At 49.9% G+C, this 19,232-nt stretch overlaps 1 protein-coding gene and 2 pseudogenes across 2 annotated transcripts in view, besides 3 other annotated features; 2 read left to right on the top strand and 1 right to left on the bottom strand.

Moving 5' to 3' along the window:
• VPS13D (vacuolar protein sorting 13 homolog D) overlaps window positions 1-1,169 on the bottom strand; it is a 282,018-nt gene extending 280,849 nt beyond the window's left edge. For both annotated transcript variants that reach the window (NM_015378.4, NM_018156.4), the window contains exon 1: window positions 1,079-1,169. The gene's annotated coding sequence lies outside the window, so the exon portion shown is untranslated. The remainder of the gene's footprint in view (window positions 1-1,078) is intronic.
• Window positions 490-1,420: an enhancer, noted in NCBI's record as "H3K27ac-H3K4me1 hESC enhancer chr1:12289836-12290766 (GRCh37/hg19 assembly coordinates)". NCBI's record gives its function as "activates a minimal SCP1, AML or CMV promoter by ChIP-STARR-seq in naive H9 embryonic stem cells {active_cell/tissue: H9 hESC(naive)}" and the evidence as "EXISTENCE:reporter gene assay evidence [ECO:0000049][PMID:30033119]".
• Window positions 815-1,344: a silencer, noted in NCBI's record as "silent region_287". NCBI's record gives its function as "represses an Ori minimal core promoter by ATAC-STARR-seq in GM12878 lymphoblastoid cells {active_cell/tissue: GM12878}" and the evidence as "EXISTENCE:reporter gene assay evidence [ECO:0000049][PMID:35858748]".
• Window positions 1,110-1,278: a silencer, noted in NCBI's record as "fragment chr1:12289978-12290146 (GRCh37/hg19 assembly coordinates)". NCBI's record gives its function as "represses an EF-1alpha promoter that drives an FKBP-Casp9 reporter gene in an ReSE screen in K562 erythroleukemia cells {active_cell/tissue: K562}" and the evidence as "EXISTENCE:reporter gene assay evidence [ECO:0000049][PMID:32094911]".
• LOC124900427 (uncharacterized) lies at window positions 9,928-10,051 on the top strand (annotated as a pseudogene).
• Window positions 10,090-10,472, top strand: RPL10P17 (ribosomal protein L10 pseudogene 17; annotated as a pseudogene).

Raw genomic sequence — 19,232 nt, 5'->3', positions numbered from 1 at the left:
ACCTGGGCTCCCCTACCCAGTGGGGCGGGTGACAGTAGGGATCAGTGCTGAGCCCACGGGCGGGCAGACAGCCGGGCATGACCTTGAGCCAGGCCCCTCCCCTGAGGAGCGGCCAGACCGGGAATAGGAAGGACTGGCAACCGGACCTGGGCGTCCCTCCCCGAGGCGGCCAGGGCTGAACGCTGCCGGCGCCAGGGAGCTCCAAAACCGGGGCGGGGACGGCTGTGCGACCGGTGGCCCCACAGGAACGGCACTGCCCGGAAGGCGACGCTCCCACAACCCTCCCGCCCCCAGCTCTCGGAACCCTCAGCCCCCTCCAGGGGACAGAGACCCCACCACCCAAGTAAAACCTGGAGGGAACGGCGCCGGGATCCCATACCTAGGAGGAGTGGCTGGGCCAGGGCGTGACCCTGGGGGGTAAAAGGTAAAGAGAGGTTTTAGGCCTGATGTCTGGCATCCCACACCTAGGAGGAGTGGCTGGGCCAGGGCGTGACCCTGGGGGGCAAAAGGTAAAGAGAGGTTTTAGGCCTGATGTCTCCACGCGAGAGTGTGACCTCGGGTGGCTGATTAAGGGAGGTGGCTAAGGCATTCTAGAGAACTGACACCCCACTCTTCGGCGTAATGTGGGGGGCTCGCACACTGGGGTCCTGCATTGAGACCAAGGCTCAGGCGGACAGGCGCGGACTGACACCCCCCAATTCCAGGGCGCCAGGCTGCTGGGACCCCGGAAAGTGTGCCGGGGTCCAGCGGGGGCTCGGGCTCCCCAGGACACGGACGTCGGGGTTCCCAGAGGTTCAGCCAGCCCCGAGCCTGTGCTTGGGGAGCTCGCGGGGACTCGGACGCAGGGGTCCCCGGAGGTGGCGGGCTTGGGGCCCGGGGGGAGCAGACGCCCAGGGTTACCCCGAGGGGCTCAGACCGAGGCCGGACGACGGGGCCCCCAGGCTCCTAGCATCGCTCTCCCCAGGGTGGGCCCGGGCCCCCATGTCCAGGCGGAGCCCTAGCGGCGGCCCGCGGGTCCGCGCCGGCCCTGCAGTTCCCGACCCTGGCCCCGCCCGGCACGGAGCCGCTCGGCCCCTACCTGTCGGTGTCCCGGGCCGCCCGCCCCAGCCCGGCGCTGCGCGGCGTTTCCTCCCCGCCGCTCCTCAATGGCGCAGGCCCGCGGCGCTCAGGCCGGCCCCGACCCGACCAATCGAGCGGCCGACGCGCCGGTGCCTGGCCAGCCGAGCGCCGAGTTATCGAGGAGGCGCCCCCTGGCGCCGGCGGCCGCTCCTGCAGTGGTGCGGGCCCCTCCAGGGTTCGCGGACACTGGGGCTTATTTTATAGGTGGGGAAATTGAGTCCCAGGGGAGGGCAGGGCCACAAATGACTCTGGTTCAGACAGCATGGGAACCCAGGATTCTTCCCACCTACAACCACCCTGCCTTCCATCCAAGCGAAAGGTGCGATTGGCCGTCCGTCTGGCCCACTCACCCACAGTCCGTTCCCCACTTCGCAGCCACAGGGGCCTGTTAATTCAGACCCTGCCCTTCCCTGCTTAAAACGGCGTCCCCACCGTACTTCAGTTAAAACCCACCTCCTTACAGAGCTGCCACCAAGGTCCCACTGGATCTGGTCCCTTCCCATTTCAGCCACTTTTTCCCCGGCCGACTCTGCCTCAGCATCCTTCAGTTTCTGCCCCAGGAACTGTACCTTTGCCGTTGTCTCTACCTAGGACCCTTCTCCTCAGACCAATAGAAACACAATGCCAGCCACATAGGCAATCCACATTTACTAGCTAGTACATTTTTTTTAAACGAAAAAGAAGAAAATGAACTTCATTTTAATATATTTAATCCAATATGTTCAAAATATGATCATCTCAACATGTCGCCAAAAGAAAAAATTACTAATACAATATGTTAACTTTTTTATAGTAAGTTTTTGAAATTCGGGTATATTTTACATTTACTGCGCATCTCAGTACAAACTAGCCAGAATTCCAGTGCTCAATACCCTCTTGTGGCCAATCCAGAGCTACAGAATAGCTCTGGATATTCGTATAGCTGACTCCCTCTGGCTTCAAATATTCCACTCAGAGAGGACTTGTGCCTATCTACGGTTCCATTATGAGCTGGGCACAGTGGCTCATGCCTGTAATCCCAGCACTTCAGGAGGCTGAGGCGGGCGGATCACTGAAGTCAGGAGTTTGAGACCAGCCTGGCCAACATAGTGAAACCCCATCTCTACTAAAACTACAAAAATTAGCCGGGCGTGGTAGTGCACACCTGTAGTCCCAGCTACTGGGGAAGCTGAGGCAGGAGAATCACTTGAACCCGGGAGGCGGAGGTTGCAGTCAGCCGAGATCACCCCTCTGCACTCCAGACAGAGTGAGACTCCCTCTCAAAAATGAAAATAAAAATAAAGTTCCATTATCCATTACCCTGTTGTATTTTATTCATGGAACCTAATACTCCCTGAGATTATCTTGTTTGTTTATACATATGTTGTTCTTTCCCCAGTACCTTGAAAACAGAGATTTTATCCCTTTCACAGTGTTTCTTCAACACCTAGACATTGCCTAGCACAGAAAAGACTCAATGAGTGTGTATGAATGAACAGCTGAACACTTCCTCCTTGCATTATCACAAGAAGGGCAAGAGGGAGACCTCAGGCTCATATAAATTAGAAGATGCAGGAAGCAGAACGGCAAGGTTACAATCATGTATTTACCATAATAATTACCAACCCTCATGATGCTAAGCTAATGAGGGTGCATGTTGGGCTGACTCACTCCTGAGCAAGACTGGGGTTCCTGTATGGTGGGATCAACCTCTCAGAATCTGGATGCTGGGTCTCCTCTGGGGCTGAGGTTTGGGAGTAAAACCTGGAACTCCACAGACAGAAGGAGGAAGGAAGGCAGTCCTTCAGAGGTGAAGGACCTCGAAGTCCAGATCACCTAGCACAGACAATTGGCTGTACCTGGGAAGCTTGTTAGAAATGCACATGGCCCAGGCCAGGCGCGGTGGCTCATGCCTGTAATCTCAGCACTTTGGGAGGCAGATGTGGGTGGATCACCTGAGGTCAGGAGTTCAGGACCAGCCTGACCAACTTGGCAAAACCCCATCTCTACTAAAAATACAAAAATTAGCCGGGCATGGTCACAGGTGCCTGTAATCCCAGCTACTCTCCTGGCTAAGGCAGGAGAATTGCTTGAACCCAGGAGGCAGAGGTTGCAGTGAGCCGAGATCTCGCCATTGCACTCCAGCCTCGGCAACAGAGCAAGACTCCATCTCAAAAAAAATCCAAAAAAATACTGCACATGGCCTGGCACCGTGGCTCACACCAGTAATCCTAGCACTTTGGGAGGCCAAGGCAGTGGGGGGGATTTTTTGAGGCCAGGAATTCAAGACCAGCCTGTGCAACATAAGGAGACCCCAATCTCTACAAAAAATTATAAATGAAAAAATTAGCTGGGCACGGTGGCACATGCCTGTACTCCCAACTACTGGGAGGAGGATTGCTTGAGCCCATGAGTTCAAGGTTACAGTGAGCAATGATCATGCCTGTGCACTCCAACCTGCGCAACAGAGACCCTGTCTCAAAAATGCAAATTCCTGGGCACCATTGATTCGACCAGTATTACTGAAAGTCTTCGTGCCCCCAGTTTCCTATAAATGTTTAAATATACATTTACCATACAGCAATCCCACTGCTAGATATTAGCCAAGAGAAATTAAAACATATGCCCACACCAAGACTTATACATGAACACTCATAGCAGCTTTATTCATAAAAGCCAGAAACAAAAAAAAACAATCAAAATGTCCATCAACAGGAGAGTGGACAAACAAATTGCAACATAGTCATACAATGGAGCACTACTCACCAACAAAAAGGTGAGTAGGGCTGACGCAGGCACGATCTGGAGGAACCTCAAAAGTATTAGCTATGTGGAAAAAGACCACATACCGTAGTGATTTCATTTCTGTGAAATTCCAGAAAAGACAAAACTGTCAGAGGAACTACAGGCTACAGATGCACTACCACACCCAGCTGATTTGGGGGGTTTTGTTTGTTTGTTTGTTTGTTTGTTTGAGACAATCTTACTCTGTCGCCCAGGCTGGAGTGCAGTGGCACAATCTCGGCTCACTGCAGCCTCTGCCTCCCAGGTTCAAGTGATTCTCATGCCTCAGCCTCCCGAGTAGCTGGGATTCCCGACGTGCACCACCACGCCCGGCTAATTTTTGTATTTTTAGTAGAGATGGGGTTTTGCCATGTTGTCCAGGCTGGTCTTGAACCCCTGAGCTCAAGCATTCCTCCCACCTTGGCCTCCCGAAGTGCTGGGATTACAGGCAGGAGACACTGCTCACAGCTTTTTTCAAAAATTTAATTGACAAATAATTGTATATATTTATGGGCTACAGTGCACTGTTTTGATATCTATTTACAATGTGGAATGATTAATTCACACTAATGAACAAATCCATCAGCTAACATACTTTTTTGGATGAAAACTTTTTTTTTTTTTTTGAGACGGAGTCTCGCTCTTTCGCCCAGGCTGGACTGCAGTGGCGCTGTCTTGGCTCACTGCAAGCTCCGCCTCCCGGGTTCACGCCATTCTCCTGCCTCAGCCTCCCGGGTAGCTGGGACTACAGGCGCCCGCTACCATGCCCGGCTAATTTTTTTTGTATTTTTAGTAGAGACGGGGTTTCACCGTGTTAGCCAGGATGGTCTCGATCTCCTGACCTCGTGATCCGCCCGCCTCAGCCTCCCAAAGTGCTGGGATTACAGGCGTGAGCCACCGCGCCCGGCCAGATGAAAGCATTTAAAACCTACTCTTTTAGCAATTCTGAAATATGCAATGTATTATTTCTTATAGTCACCATTCTGAGCAATAGATCACTATAGCTTCTTTCTCTTGTTTAACTGAAACTTCGTACTCTTTGTTTTGTTTCTTTTTTTTTTTTTTGAGACGGAGTCTCTCTCTGTCACCCAGTTGCCCAGGCTGGAGTGCAGTGGCGCGATCTCAGCTCACTGCAACCTCTGCCTCCCAGGTTCAAGTGATTATCCTGCCTCAGCCTCCCCAGTAGTTGAGATTACAGATATGTACCACCACGCCTGGCAAATTTTTGTACTTTTAGTAGAGACGGTGTTTCATCATGTTGGCCAGGCTGGTCTCAAACTCCTAGCCTCAAGTAATCCACCCACCTCGGCCTCCCAAAGTGCTGGGATGACAGGCGTGACCACCATACCTGGCCCAAACTTTATACTCTTTGGTCAACATCCCCAAGTTCCCAACCCAAGAGTTCCTGGGACCACCAGGATCTCCAGAGAGATAAGAGTGTCTTTTCGTAGGTTCCTGAGACGACTGGTGGCTGAAAGTCCCTAGACAGCTTCAGAATGGGGCTGGTTTCCAGAGGGAGCAACCATGTTATTAGAGAGAGGGTGGGCCTATCTCACGCAAAAACACACACTCTTTGACCGCCTCCGACCTGCGGGGAGGATTGGAGATTGAGTTCAATCACCAATGGCCAATTATTCAGTCAATCATGCCCACGTAAAAACCCTAAAGGTGGTCGGGCACAGTGGCTCACGCCTGTAATCCCAGCACTTTGGGAGGCCGAGACAGGTGCATCACAAGGTCAGGAGATCAAGACCATCCTGGCCAACATGGTGAAACCCTGTCTCTACTAAAAATACAAAAAATTTAGCCGAGCATGGTAGCGGGCGCCTGTAGTCCCAGCTACTTGGGAGGCTGAGGCAGGAGAATGGTGTGAACCTGGGAGGCAGAGCTTGCAGTGAGCTGAGATCAGGCCACTGCACTCCCGCCTGGGCAACAGAGAGACTCCATCTCAAAAAAAAACAAAAAAACCCTAAAGGTTCAGTGTTTCCAAGCCCCACCCCATCTCTAACACCTTGGCCTGTGCATTTTTCCACTAGTTGCATCCTTTATAATAAATTGTAAATGAAAGTAAAGTGGCCAGGAGCAGTGGCTCACGCCTGTAATCCCAGCACTTTGGGAGGCCAAGGCAAGCGGATCACGAAGTCAGGAGTTCGAGACCAGCCTGACCAACATGGTGAAACCGCATCTCTACTAAAAATACAAAAATTAGCCAGGCATGGTGGCAGGTACCTGTAATCCCAGCCACTCAGGACGCCGAGGCAGGAGAATTGCTTGAACCCAGGAGGCAAAGGTTGCAGTGAGCTGGGATTGTGCCAATGCACTCCAGCCTGCAACAGAGCAAGACTCCATCTAAAAAAGAAAAAAGAAAAAGAAAGACAGTAAAGTGTTTCCCTAAGTTCTGTGTGCCATTATTGAAAATAATCAAACCTAAGGGAGGGGTCATGGGAACCCCCAATTTATAGCTGATCAGTCAGAAGTACAGAAGGCCTGGACTAGTGATTGGCATCTGAAGTGGGGCAGTCTTGTGGGGCTGAGCCCTTTACTTGTGGGATCTTCTGCTAATGCCAGGTAGGTAGTGTCAGAATTGAATTGAATCTCAGGACACACAACTGGTGTTCAGAGAATTAGAGAATTGCTTGGGATGTGGAAAACCCACAATTTGGAGTCAGAAGTGTTGTATGAATATAAGAAAAGCAGTTTAGGCTGCACATAGTGGCTCATGCCTGTAATCCTAGCACTTTGGGAGGCCAAGGCGGGAGGATCTCTTGAGCCCAGGAATTCAAGACCAGCCTGGGCAACATAGTAAGACCCTGATGTGGTTTGGCTGTGTCCCCACCCACGTCTCATCTTGAAATGTAGCTCCCATAATCCCCACATGTTGTGGGAGGGACCTGACGGGAGGTAATTGAATCATGGGGGCAGGTTTTTCCCATGCTGTTTTGCTGATAGTGAATAAATCTCATGAGATCTGATGGTTTTATAAAGGGGAGTTTCCCTGCACACGCTCTCTTGCCTGCTGCCATGTAAGATGTACCTTTGCTCTTCTTTTGCCTTCTGCCATGATTGTGAGGCCTCCCCAGCCATGTGGAACTGTGAGTCCATTAAACCTCTTTTCCTTTTTTTTTTTTTTTTAAGATGGAGTCTCGCTCTGTTGCCAGGCTGGAGTGCAGTGGCACAGTCTTGGCTCACTGAAACCTCCGACTCCCTGGTTCAAGCGCTTCTCCTGCTTCAGCCTCCCAAGTAGCTGGAACTACAGGCATGCACCATGCCCAGCTAATTTTTGTATTTTTAGTAGAGATGGGGTTTCACCATGTTGGCTAGGAGGGTCTTGATCTCCTGACCTTGTGATCCACCTGCCTCATCCTCCCAAAGTGCTGGGATTACAGACGTGAGCCACTGTGCCCAGCCTAAACATCTTTTTCTTTATAAGTTACCCAGTCTTGGATATTTCTTTATAGCAGTATGAAAATGGACCAATACAGTAAATTGGCACCAGTAGAGTGGGGTACTCCTATCAAGATACCAGAAAATGTGGAAGAGACTTTGGAACTGGGTAACAGGCAGAGCCTGGAACAGTTCGGAGGGCTCAGAAGAAGACAGGAAGATGTGGGAAAGTTCAGAGCTTCCTAGAGACTTGTTGAATGGTTTTGACCAAAATGCTTATAGTGATATGGACAATGAAGTGCAGGCTGAGGTGGTCTCAGATGGAGACAAAGAATTTATTGGAAACTGAAGCAAAGGTAATTCTTGGTATGCTTTAGCAAAGAGACTCACAGCATTTCACCCCTGGCCTAGAAATCTGTGGAACTTTGAACATGAGAGAGATGATTTAGGGTATCTGAGGGAAGAAATGTCTAAGTAGCAAAGCATTCAAGAGATGACTTGAGTGCTCTTAAAAGCATTCAGTTGGCTGGGTGTGGTGGCTCACGCCTGTAATCCCAGCACTTTGGGAGGCTGAGGCGGGCAGATCACAAAGGTCAGGAGATCAAGACCATCCTGGCTAACATGGTGAAACCCCGTCTCTACTAAAAATACAAAAAAAAAATTAGCCAGGCTTGGTGGCAGGTGCCTGTAGTCCCAGCTACTTGGGAAGCTGAGGCAGGAGAATGGCGTGAACCCAGGAGGCAGAGCTTGCAGTGACCCCAGATTGCACCACTGCACTCCAGCCTGGGCGACAGAGCAAGACTCCGTCTCAAAAAAAAAAAAAAAAAAAAAGCATAAAAGTTTGGAAAATTTGCAGACTGACAATGCGATAGAAAAAAAAAATTTATGGGGAGAAATTCAACCCAGTTGCAGAACTTTGCAGAAGTAATAAGAAGCCAAGCATTAATCACCATGACAATGGGGAAAATGTCTAGAGGGCATGTCAGAGGTCTTCATGGCAGTACCTCCCATCACAGACCTGGAGGCCTAGGAGGAAAAAATGGTTTTGTGGGCCAGGCCCAGGGCCTTGCTGCTTTGTGCAGTCTTGGGACTTGGTCCCTGTGTCCCAGCCATGGCTAAAAGGGGCCAACATACACCTCAGGCCATTGCTTCAGAGGGTGCAAGCCCTAAGCCTTGGCAGCTTACACATGCTGTTAGGTCTGCAGGTGCATGGAAGTCAGGAATTGAGGTTTGGGAACCTCTCTGCCTAGATTTCAGAGGATAATGGAAACACTAGGTAGAGGTGTGCTGCAAGGTGGAGCCCTCACAGAGAATTTCTGCTAGGGCAGTACAGAAAGGAAATGTGGGATGGGAGCCCCCACACAGAGTCCCCACTGGGGCACTGCCTAGTGGAGCTGTGAGAAGAGGGCCACCATCCTCCAGACCCTAGAATGGTAGGACATCTTGCACTGTGCACCTGGAAAAGCTGCAGACACTCAACCCCAGCCAATGAAAATAGCCAGGAGGGGGACTGTACCCTGCAAAGCCACAGGATGGAGAGCTGCCAAAGACCATAGGAACCCATCTCTTGACCTGGATGTGAGACATGGAATCAAAGGAGATCATTTTGGAGCTTTAAGATTTGACTGCCCCACTGGGTTTCAGACTTGCATGGGGCCTATAGCCCATTTGTTTTGGCCAATTTCTCCCATTTGGAACAAGTGTATTTACCCAATGCCCCATTGTATCTAAGAAGTAACTAACTTGCTTTTGATTTTACAAACTCATAGGTGGAAGTGACTTGCCTTGTCTCAGATGAGACTTTGGACTGTAGACTTTTGAGTTAATGCCAAAAGGAGTTAAGACTTTGGAGGACTGTTGAAAAGGCCTGATTGGTTTTGAAATGTAAGGACATGAGATTTTGGAGGGGCCAAGGACAAAATGATATTGTTTGGCTGTGTCCCCACCCAAATCTCATCTTTAATTATAGCTCCCATAATCTCCACATGTTGTGGGAGGGACCTGGTGAGAGGTAATTAAATCATGGAGGTGGGTTTTTTCCCATACTGTCCTCATGATAGTGAATAAGTCTCATGAGATCTGGTGGTTTTATAAAGCGCAGTTCCCCTGCATACACTCTCCAGCCTGCTACCACGTAAGATATGCCTTTGCTCCCCCTTTGCCTTTTGCCAAGAATGTGAGGCCTCCCTAGCCATGTGGAACTGTGAGTCCATTAAACCTCTTTTTCCTTATAAATTACCCAGTCTTGGGTATTTCTTCATAGCAGTATGAAAATGGACTAATACAGACCCTCTTTAAAAAAAAAAAAAAAATCACCTTGCTTTTTTTTAGTTGTAGACATACCAGAGGAAGGGCTGCAGGAGATGGGGGTCATTCCTTAATTACCACCCACTTAGATGCATGTTGGCCCAGAAGGAGTAAGTTTTCTGGGACAGGCAGATTTGCAGAGCCCAGCTCCACACTCTCCCCACATCAGGTTCCTCCCCACCTGTCCTCCTATATCAGTTTCTGGAATCATCTGGACCACAGGGGATGCAGACAGGTAGCCAAAACTCCTGCAGAAATGTTTCTGTTGGCACACACAATGCTTTAAGCTCATTTGAATTACTGAAAACAGAAAAATCTGGAGATTACACATGAAAATCTGTATTTAGGACATCTCTAGAAAAATTGAAGATTTGGCCACTCTGGAAACTGCTGAGGGCCCCATGTGTAATGGCTGCAAACAGCTTCCTTTGTTGTGTAGACAGCCTGAGTTTTTCTCTAAGGGACTATGGAGACAGCCCTTTCCAATGTCTTTGACCTTGGCATTGTCCCCAGTGTAGGCTTCAGACAGGCATGCAAGTTGCCTTTGGAAAGCCCCAGGGCACCGTGGCCAGGGTTCACATTGGCCAAGTCATCATGTTCATCCACACCAAGCTGCAGAACAAGGAGCATGTGATTGGGGCCCTACATAGGGTCACGTTTAAGTTCCCTGGCCACCAGAAGGTCCACATCTCAAAGAAGTGGGGCTTTACCAAGTTCAATGCAGATGAATTTGAATATGTGGTGGCTGAGAAACAGCTCAGCCCAGATGGCTGTGGGGTCAAATCCATCCCTAGTCATGGCCCCCTGGAGAAGTGGCAAGCCTTGTACTCATGAGGGCTTTCACTGTGCTGCCCCCAATAAATTATGCCCACCCATAAATATCCTACTTCCTGTCCGCCCAAAAAACAAAACAAAACAAAACAAAAAACTGAATGCTTCTTTGCCTACATTCATCCAATCATTCACTGTCAACTGAGCACCTACTATGTGCCTGGCACTGTTCTTTTGCAGTGAGAGGGCTGGACCTGGTCTCACTCTGTTGCCCAGACTGGAGTGCAGTGGCACAATCATGGCTCACTGCAGCCTCGATCTTCTGAGCTCAAGTGATCCTCCCACCTCAGCCTCCCAAGTAGCTAAGACTGCAGGTGTGCACACTCAACTAATTTTTTTTTTTTTTGAGACTCACTCTGTCACCCAGGCTGGAGTGCAGTGGCACAATCTCGGCTCACTGCAACCTCTGCCTCCAGGTTCAAGTGATTCTCCTGCCTCAGCCTCCCAAGTAGCTGGGACTACAGGCACGCACCACCATGCCTGGCTAATTTTTGTATTTTTAGTAGAGACGGGGTTTTGCCATGTTGGCCAGGCTGGTTGTGAACTCCTGGCTTCAAGTGATCCGCCCACCTCAGACTCCCAAAATGCTGGTATTATAGGCATGAGCCACCGTGCCCGGCCCTGGCTAATTTTTTGATTTTTTGTAGAGATGGGTGGGGGGCTCTCACTATGTTCAGTAGGCTGGTCTCGAACCCCTGGGCTCCAACAATCCACCCATCTCAGCCTCCCAAAGTGCTGGAATTATAGGAGTGAGCCACTGGCCACCGAGCCTGGCTGCCTGGGACTGTTCTAAGCCTATGACTAAGCAAAATAAAGCTTTGCCATCCTAGAGTTTATATTCTAGCAGGAGGTGTAGACAATAAGAAATAAATATAACAGATATGTAAATTATATAGTATTTGAGAAGGTGATAAGTACCATAAGAGCCCTGTGGGGGGTAGGAAGATCCCAGATGTGAGGAAGTTGCAATTTTAATTATGAATTAATTTAATTAGGTCTTGAAGGCTTTTAACTTTGTAAGGCAGTGCTGTCCAATAGAAATAGAATGCAAGCCATATGCATAAATTTCAAATTGTCTAGTAGCCAAATCACAGAGTGAAAAGAAACAGGTAAAATGAAGTTAATATTGTATTTAACCTAGTATATCCAAAATAAGACCATTTCAACATGTAAATCAATGTAAAAATACCAAGAACATATTGTATATAGTTTTTCATAGTAAGTCTTCTATATTTGGTATTTCGTATTGAGATGTATGTTACACATCTCAACCTGAACTAGCCATGTTTCAAGTACTCAGAAGCATCTGTTCCTGGTAGCTACTCTATTTGGAAGCACAGGTCCAGAATCTCTTGTGAAAGTGCAAGCAGCCCAGGGATAGATGGTACCATCACCCCATGGGGAAAAAAAGAGAAAAGGTGGCCGGGCGCGGTGGCTCATACCTGTAATCCCAGCACTTTGGGAGACTGAGGTGGATGGATCACGAGGTCAGGAGATGGAGATCATCCTGGCCAACATGTTGAAACCCTGTCTCTACTAAAAATACAAAAAATTAGCCAGGCATGGTGACTGGTGCCTGTAGTCCCAGCTACTCGGGAGGCTGAGGCAGGAGAATCACTTGAACCCGGGAGGTGGAGGTTGCAGTGAACTGAGATTGCACCACTGCACTCCAGCCTGGGTGACAGAGTGAGACTCTGTCTCAAAAAAAAAAAAAAAAAAAGAGAAAGAGAGAGAAAAGGCAAATAGACCACAGCTCAGAGGCCAGCCCCCTCATCTCACAGATGGTGATTCTGAGCTCCAGAGGGGGACAGAGGCTGCTCAAAGTTCACATGGCAAAATAGTGGTGGAACCAAGGCACAGTCACTCTTAGGATTCCCAGCCTTTAGATTCACCCAAAGCAGCTGCTCAGCCCAACCTCCTAGCTTTCAGGGTGCTGCTAGTTTCCCCAGAAAGATGTCTACCCCTTTAAATCCAGGTTTCCTTGACTTTCTTGTGAAATTCTAAGGAGCTGCTTATCAGGAACTTCCCACAGTAAACAGCCTGTCCAACACAATCCTAAGATAAGTGTCAAACCCAGCCCTGCCAGCCCTATGTCCTCCTCTGCAAAGCAGGGATAATGAGTACCTTGCCTATCTCGCAGGACAGTTACCGAGTTGAAATGATGCAACCTCACTTTCTCAACTGTGGTATTTTGGGGTTTTTTGGGGACAGGGTCTCGCTCTGTCACCCAGGCTGGAGTGCAGTGGCACCATCACAGCTCAAGCAATCTAGCTAATTTTTTGGTAGAGACGAGGTCTCCCTATGTTGCCCAGGATGGTATTAAGCTCCTGGCCTCAAGCCATCCTCCCACCTTGGGCCTCCCAAAGTGCTGGGATTACAGGTGTGAGCCACCATACCCAGTCTGCTTTCTCAGCATTAGCTCAGACAATGCTATGGAACTTCCCACACTCCCCAGCTCAGGCCCCTCCCATGACACTGAAGATAAAACCTAACGGCCCAGCATGGTGGCTCCCACCTGTAATCCCAGCACTTTGGGAGGCTGAGGCAGGCGGATCACCTGAAGTCAGGAGTTCAAGACTGGCCTGGCCAACATGGCAAAACCCTGTCTCTATTAAAAATACAAAAATTAGCCAGGTATGATGGCAGACAACTGTAATCCCAGCTGCCTGGGAGCCTGAGGCAGGAGAATCACTTGAACCCGGGTTGCAGTGAGCCAAGATCACACCACTGTACTCCAGCCTAGGAGACAGAGCAAGACTCTGTCTAAAAAAAAAAAAAAAAAAAAAAGCCAAAGTCCTTTCCATGGCTTCACACCACTCTCCCAACCCCATATCCCATCCCACCCCCCATAGTCCCATGGCTGTCCTGTCCTCCCCTCACCAAGGTGTCTGCTTAAACTCCAGCACCTCAGAGAAGCCTTCCTCAACCCACCTTGCAAACTGGCAGCAACCCTATCTGTCCCTTCACTTTGCTTTATTTTTCTTAGCACTTACCACTACAGGCATAGCCTACATGTCTGTCTTTACATAGTCCCTGCTAGTGTGTCAGCTCCAGGTGGACAGGGACCTTGCCTGTGCTGTTATCTGCAGCATTCTCAGCACCTATACATTAAAAAAAAAAAGCAATTAACATGTATGGAGCCCTGACAATGTGCCAGGCACAGTTCTAAGCATTTCAGACAGTAACTGATGTAATCCCACAATCTGAGGGAGGTACGATTTTAATCCCATCTTACAGATAAGGCGAGTAAGGCACAGAGACATCAGAGATATTCATTCACTTGATTGAGGTCACAGCAACAGGAAGTGTTGCATCCAGGATTCACACCTGGGCAGGTAGGCTTCCAGGACCTACAACTTTTCTTCTTTAAGACAGTGTCTCGGGGCTGGGCGTGGTGGCTCATGCCTGTAATCCCAGCACTTTGGGAGGCCGAGGTGGGCGGATCACGAGGTCAGGAGATCGAGACCATCCTGGCTAACACGGTGAAACCCCATCTCTACTAAAAATACAAAAAAGTTAACCGGGCGTGGTGGCGTGCGCCTGTGGTCCCAGCTATTTGGGAGGCTGAGGCAGGAGAATGGCGTGAACCTGGGAGGCGGAGCTTGCAGTGAGCTGAGATCAGGCCACTGCACTCCAGCCTGGGTGACAGAGCAAGACTCCGTCTCAAAAAAAAAAAAAAAAAGACAGGGTCTCACTCTGCCACCCAGGCTGGAGTACAGTGACTCGATCACGGTTCACTGCAGCCTCGACTTGATCACGGTTTATTGCAGCCTCAACTTCCTGGGCTCAAGCAATTCTCCCACCTCAGCCTCCCACAGTGCTGGGATTACAGGCTTGAGCCACCGCGCCAGGCTGGACCCACAATTTTGGGTTCTGTGCTTGTTCATCTATAATGATAATGAATGAATGAGAACAATAAAGAGAACTCAAAAAGACATTCCTTCTCTACCCAGGCTGGTCCTAGCTCCGCCAAACCACATGTTCTGTCCTGATTAAAGAAATGGGCAAGAGAAGCTGCAAGCCTGGCCCATGCTGACTGGTTGCTGTATCAGGCAGGTGGCTGCCCCTGGTTGCTCCAAATGGACCCCCTCAAACAGAATCATCTGGTGCCTCCTCTGTCTCCAGATAGGTGGTGAGCTCTGGGAAACAGCAGCGCTGGATCTGGTCCCTCGGGCTCAGCACCAGCCGATGTCCAATGCCTATGAGAGGAAGGAGCCAAAGCTGCCCTCCTCCCCCAGCACCAAGTCAATTCCCTGCTCTCAAAGGGGGTTTATTCCAGTTTCCATGATCCACACACTGGCTCAGCTCATGTTTCATACATTGACATCCCAACCAGGTTGGTGCTGTTACTATCCCCATTGTATATATAGATGGGGACTCAAGCTCAGTGCAGCCCCAGCCTCTGCAGAGTGGATGTTCAGTAAACGTGAACATCCACAGCAATGACACCATGAGTGAACACCAGAGCTGCTGGGGCTGCAATGGCCTCTGTGCAGGAAACACAGGGCACAGGCAAGTTGAAGGAAAACGCTTTTGCCAAGGAGAGGCAAGCATTAGAAGAACCCACAAGGAGAGGCACTAGCGGGAAGCTATGGGGCCACAGTGGTGGTGGCAGGGAGAATCTACCAGAAGGGGAAGGGGAGTAGGGAATACACACCTGGCCTCACTTTCTTCCCATCCTCCAGTCTCCTGATGAGTTGGGATCGTTCCCTTAGCCCCCTTCATAGGCAGGAATTGGAGTGGCTCATTTCATTCAGCCTGCCGCTGGCCACTCCTCGTGAAAGAAAGCATGTAAGCAAGTGAGTGCGAGGACCAGAGGGAATGAATGCCGGAACTGGCCAGTCGCTCCTTTCTGGTAGGAGCAGGCTCTGTACAGGCCCCACAGCAGCATCCAAGTCCCTGCCTTCTCAGCATGCAGATTCTTGTCTGGCATCCAGGAAGAATCAGGTCACACAGATGGATTGAAAGATGATGAATGCAGAAGACTTTATTGAGCAGTGAAAGGGGCTCTCAGCAGAAGGGGAGCTGAAAAGGGGATGATGCAGGAAGGTGATCTTTCCCTGAAGCCACGCCATCTGAAGTTAATCACGTCTATCCGTAGTCTCTGACGCTCAGTTGCTTCTCTGCTCAGATGCTTGTTATCTCCTCCAGTCAGCCGTTTGTGTCACTCTGCCAGCTGAAGTCTTTTTATGGGCACAGAATAGTGGCATGGCAGGCCAAAAAGGCAGCATTTGGGCAGAAAAATAGGGTCAGCTGTCTTCACTTAGGGCAGCAGTTCCAGGCTTAAGGGTGGGGCTTAGCCAGGAGCCTGGCCATTCTGTATCACTGCTACTGCTCTCCCATGGCCAAACCCTGCTGGGAGCCTCAGGGAAAGGGGTCCAGGAATGTGTGTGCAGGAGGCAGTCTCCCAGGGCACAAAGCAGGGCAGAGAGGGGAACCGGAGGGGTGGATGGAGACTAACCAGCACATTGCCGGTCTCTCCGCTTCTAATCCATCTCTCTCCAGCCATCCCCCGAGTATAGCCAAGGCAAGGGAGCTTCAGAAGGAGCCCCCTGCCTCCTGGTAAGCAGTCCCCACAACTGCACTTTCCAACCTCCTCTCTCCCCAGCACCTGGTGACATCATTCCAAAAGACAAATCTGGCCATATCCCCCCACCGGTGAAACCTCTTCAGCGAGTCCTTTGTCCCGTTGTCTGCCTTAGCAGGACAGTGGCCATCCTTTGGACCTGGCCACTCCTCAGCCTCATTTCCTGCCACTGTCCCAGGCCAAGGGCAGGCTTGGCTGATCCCTGGCTCCCTCAGGCCTCTGCTCCCAGGTTACCTCTCCCGGTCCCCTCCCTGATCCAAAAGGGCACTTCCATCCCTTGGTCCCCTGTGTCCAGCTTCATTTTCTTCATCCCTGTCTAATATTATGTTTCTTTTCTTCCTACCCATTACGTAAGCTTCATTTTAGCAGCCACTGAATCCCCGCAACTAGAGCACAATACATACTTGTTCCTTCAAGCGTCAGGAGGTATCAGGATGTATTTCAGGTATTTAAAGCTGGATGGGATCCACAACGAGGGAGTTGGAGAGGGAGAAGAGGTGCAAGGACTGAGCCCTGGGACCCCTCATCAGTCAGACGTTGATGAGATGAGGAGGAACCAGGCAGGAAGGCAGAAGGGGTCCCTGAGATGGCAGGAGAGTCATGGGGTGTGGACTCCTGACAGCCAGGCAAGGAAAGACTTCCAAGGAGTGGAGATTGATCACTCAGGTCAAATACCGCCTGCCTGTAGGAGAAGTGAGATGGGGACTGAAGCTGATCATTGAATTTAGCCGTATGGAGTTTCATAGAGACCTGGTCAAAAGACAGGTTGAGTAGAGTAGGGGGCACAAGTGGTGGGCACATGAGAAAATGGGAGAAGACAAATTGGAGACCTGAATATGCTGTTCTCCAGGTGTTTTTGCTGTAAGAGTAGCTGAGAAATCTGACAGCGCCTGGAAGAATTGTGAGCAAGGTTTCTGTTGTTAATTGTGGTGAAATACACATAACAATTTTTTTTTTTTGAGATGGAGTTTCACTCTTCTCTCCCAGGCTAGAGTGCAATGGTGCAATCTCGGCTCACTGCAACCTCTGCCTCCCAGGTTCAAACAATTCTCCTGCCTCAGCCTACTGAGTAGCTGGGATTACAGGCGCCTGCCACCACACCCGGCTAATTTTTGTATTTTTAGTAGAGACGAGGTTTCGCCATGTTGGCCAGGCTGGTCTCGAACTCCTGACCCCAGGTGATCACCCGCCTCGGCCTCCCACAAAATTTTATCATCTTTTTGTAGTTGTTGCTCTTTTTTGGTTTTTGTTTAAAAGTTCTCATCTTAACCATTATTAAGTGTATAGTTCAGTGGCATTAAGTAATTTCATATTGTTGTGCAACCATCACCACCATCCATCTGCAGAACTTTTTTTTTTTTTTTTTTTTTTAGGGTCTCGCCCTGTCACCCAGGCTGGAGTACAGTGGCACAGGTCATGGCTCCCTGCAGCCTCGACTTCCTGGGCTCGCACAATCTTCCCGCCTTAGCCTCCTGAGTAGCTGGGACCACAGGCGCATGCCACCATGCCCAGCTCATTTTCATAGAGACGGAGTCTTGCTATGTTGTCCAGGATGGTCTCGAACTTCTGAACTCAAGCGATCCACCCACCTCGGCTTCCCAAAGTTCTGGGATTACAGGCGTGAGCCATCATGCCTGGCCTAGAACTCTTCATTTCAAAAAACTGAAACTCTGCACCCATTAAACACTGACTCCCCATTCCCTCTTCTCCCAGCTTCTGGCAACCAACACCCTACTTTCCATCTCTATGAATCCTACTACTCCAGGTACCTCATGTACGGGAAACATACAGAATTTGTCCTTTTGTGACTGGCTTATTTCACTTAGTATAAGGGACAAGGGATCCTTGTCCTCAAGGCATCCGTGTTGCAGCACGTGTCAGAATTTCCTTCCTTTTTAAGGTTGAATATTCCATTGTACACCACTTTTTTTTTTTTTTTTTTTTTGAGATGAAGTCTCACTCTGTCACCCAGGCTGGAGTGCAGTGGCGCGACCTCGGCTCACTGCAACCTCCGCCTCCTGGGTTCAAGTGATTCTCCTGTCTCAGCCTCCTGAGTAGCTGGGACTACAGGCGTGTGTCACCACGCCAGGCTCATTTTTGTATTTTTAGTAGAGATGGGGTTTCACCATGTTGGCCAGGTTGGTCTCGAACTCCTGACCTCAGGTGATCCACCTGCCTCAGCCCTGCAAAGTGCTGGGATTACAGGTGTGAGCCACTGCACCCAGCCTGTAGATCACATTTTGTTTATCCATTCCACCTTTTGGACACCTAGGTTGTTTCCACCTTTTGGCTATTATGAACAGGGAGCACTGCTGTACAAATATCTGTTTGAGACTCTGTTTTCAGTTCTTTAGGGTACACACCCAGAAGCGGAGTTGCTGGATCAGATGGTAATTCTATGTTCCATGTTTTGAGTCGCTGTCACACTGTATCCCATAGCAGTTGGACCACTGTGCACTCTCCTCAGCGACGCACAAGGTTTTCCATCTCTCCACATTTTCACCAACACTTACTAATTTCTGGGTTTTTGATAGTAGTTGTCCTAATGGGTGTGAGGTTGTTTCACAAATGGGAGGAACCTCAGGGTGTCTATATGCAAACAGGAAAGATCCAGGAGCCAGAGAAATTGATGCTGAAGGAAAGAGACAGGAGACTCACTGAAGCAATGTCCTTGAGCCAGGAGAGATGCTAAGATCCCGTGCAGGGGAGGCGCTGTCCTCAGACCCAGTCACGGCAAAGGCCAGGGTTGTGGGCACAGATGCAGGGTGAGAGGGCAGATGTGGTGGGGCAAGCATGAAGCATTCTCTTGTGTTTTATTTTCTCGGTGAAATAGACAGCAAGGTAACCAACTGAAGGTAAGGGTGGGGTGAGGACAGAGGCTTGGGGATAAAGGAGAACACATGAAATAGTCCATCTAGAAGAGTGGGGTAAGGTGTGGTGGCTCATCCCTATAATCCCAGCACTTTGGGAAGCCAAGGTGGGAGGATCACTTGAGCCCAGGAGTTTCAGGCTGCATTGAGCTGTGATTGCGCTACTGCCCTCCAGCCTGGGTCACAGAGTGGTACTCAGTCTCAAACAAAAACCTCAATTAATCCTTTTATTTAAAAGATAAAATAGGCCAGGCGCAGTGGCTCACACCTGTAATCCCAACACTCTGGGAGGCTGAGGTGGGTGCATCACCTGTCAGGAGTTTAAGACCAGCCTGGCCAACATGGCGAAACCCCTTCTCTACCAAAAATAC

Source organism: Homo sapiens, chromosome 1 (genome assembly GCF_000001405.40).
Source record: "Homo sapiens chromosome 1, GRCh38.p14 Primary Assembly".
Classification (NCBI taxonomy): domain Eukaryota; kingdom Metazoa; phylum Chordata; class Mammalia; order Primates; family Hominidae; genus Homo; species Homo sapiens.
This window is presented reverse-complemented; position numbering and strand designations above follow the sequence as displayed.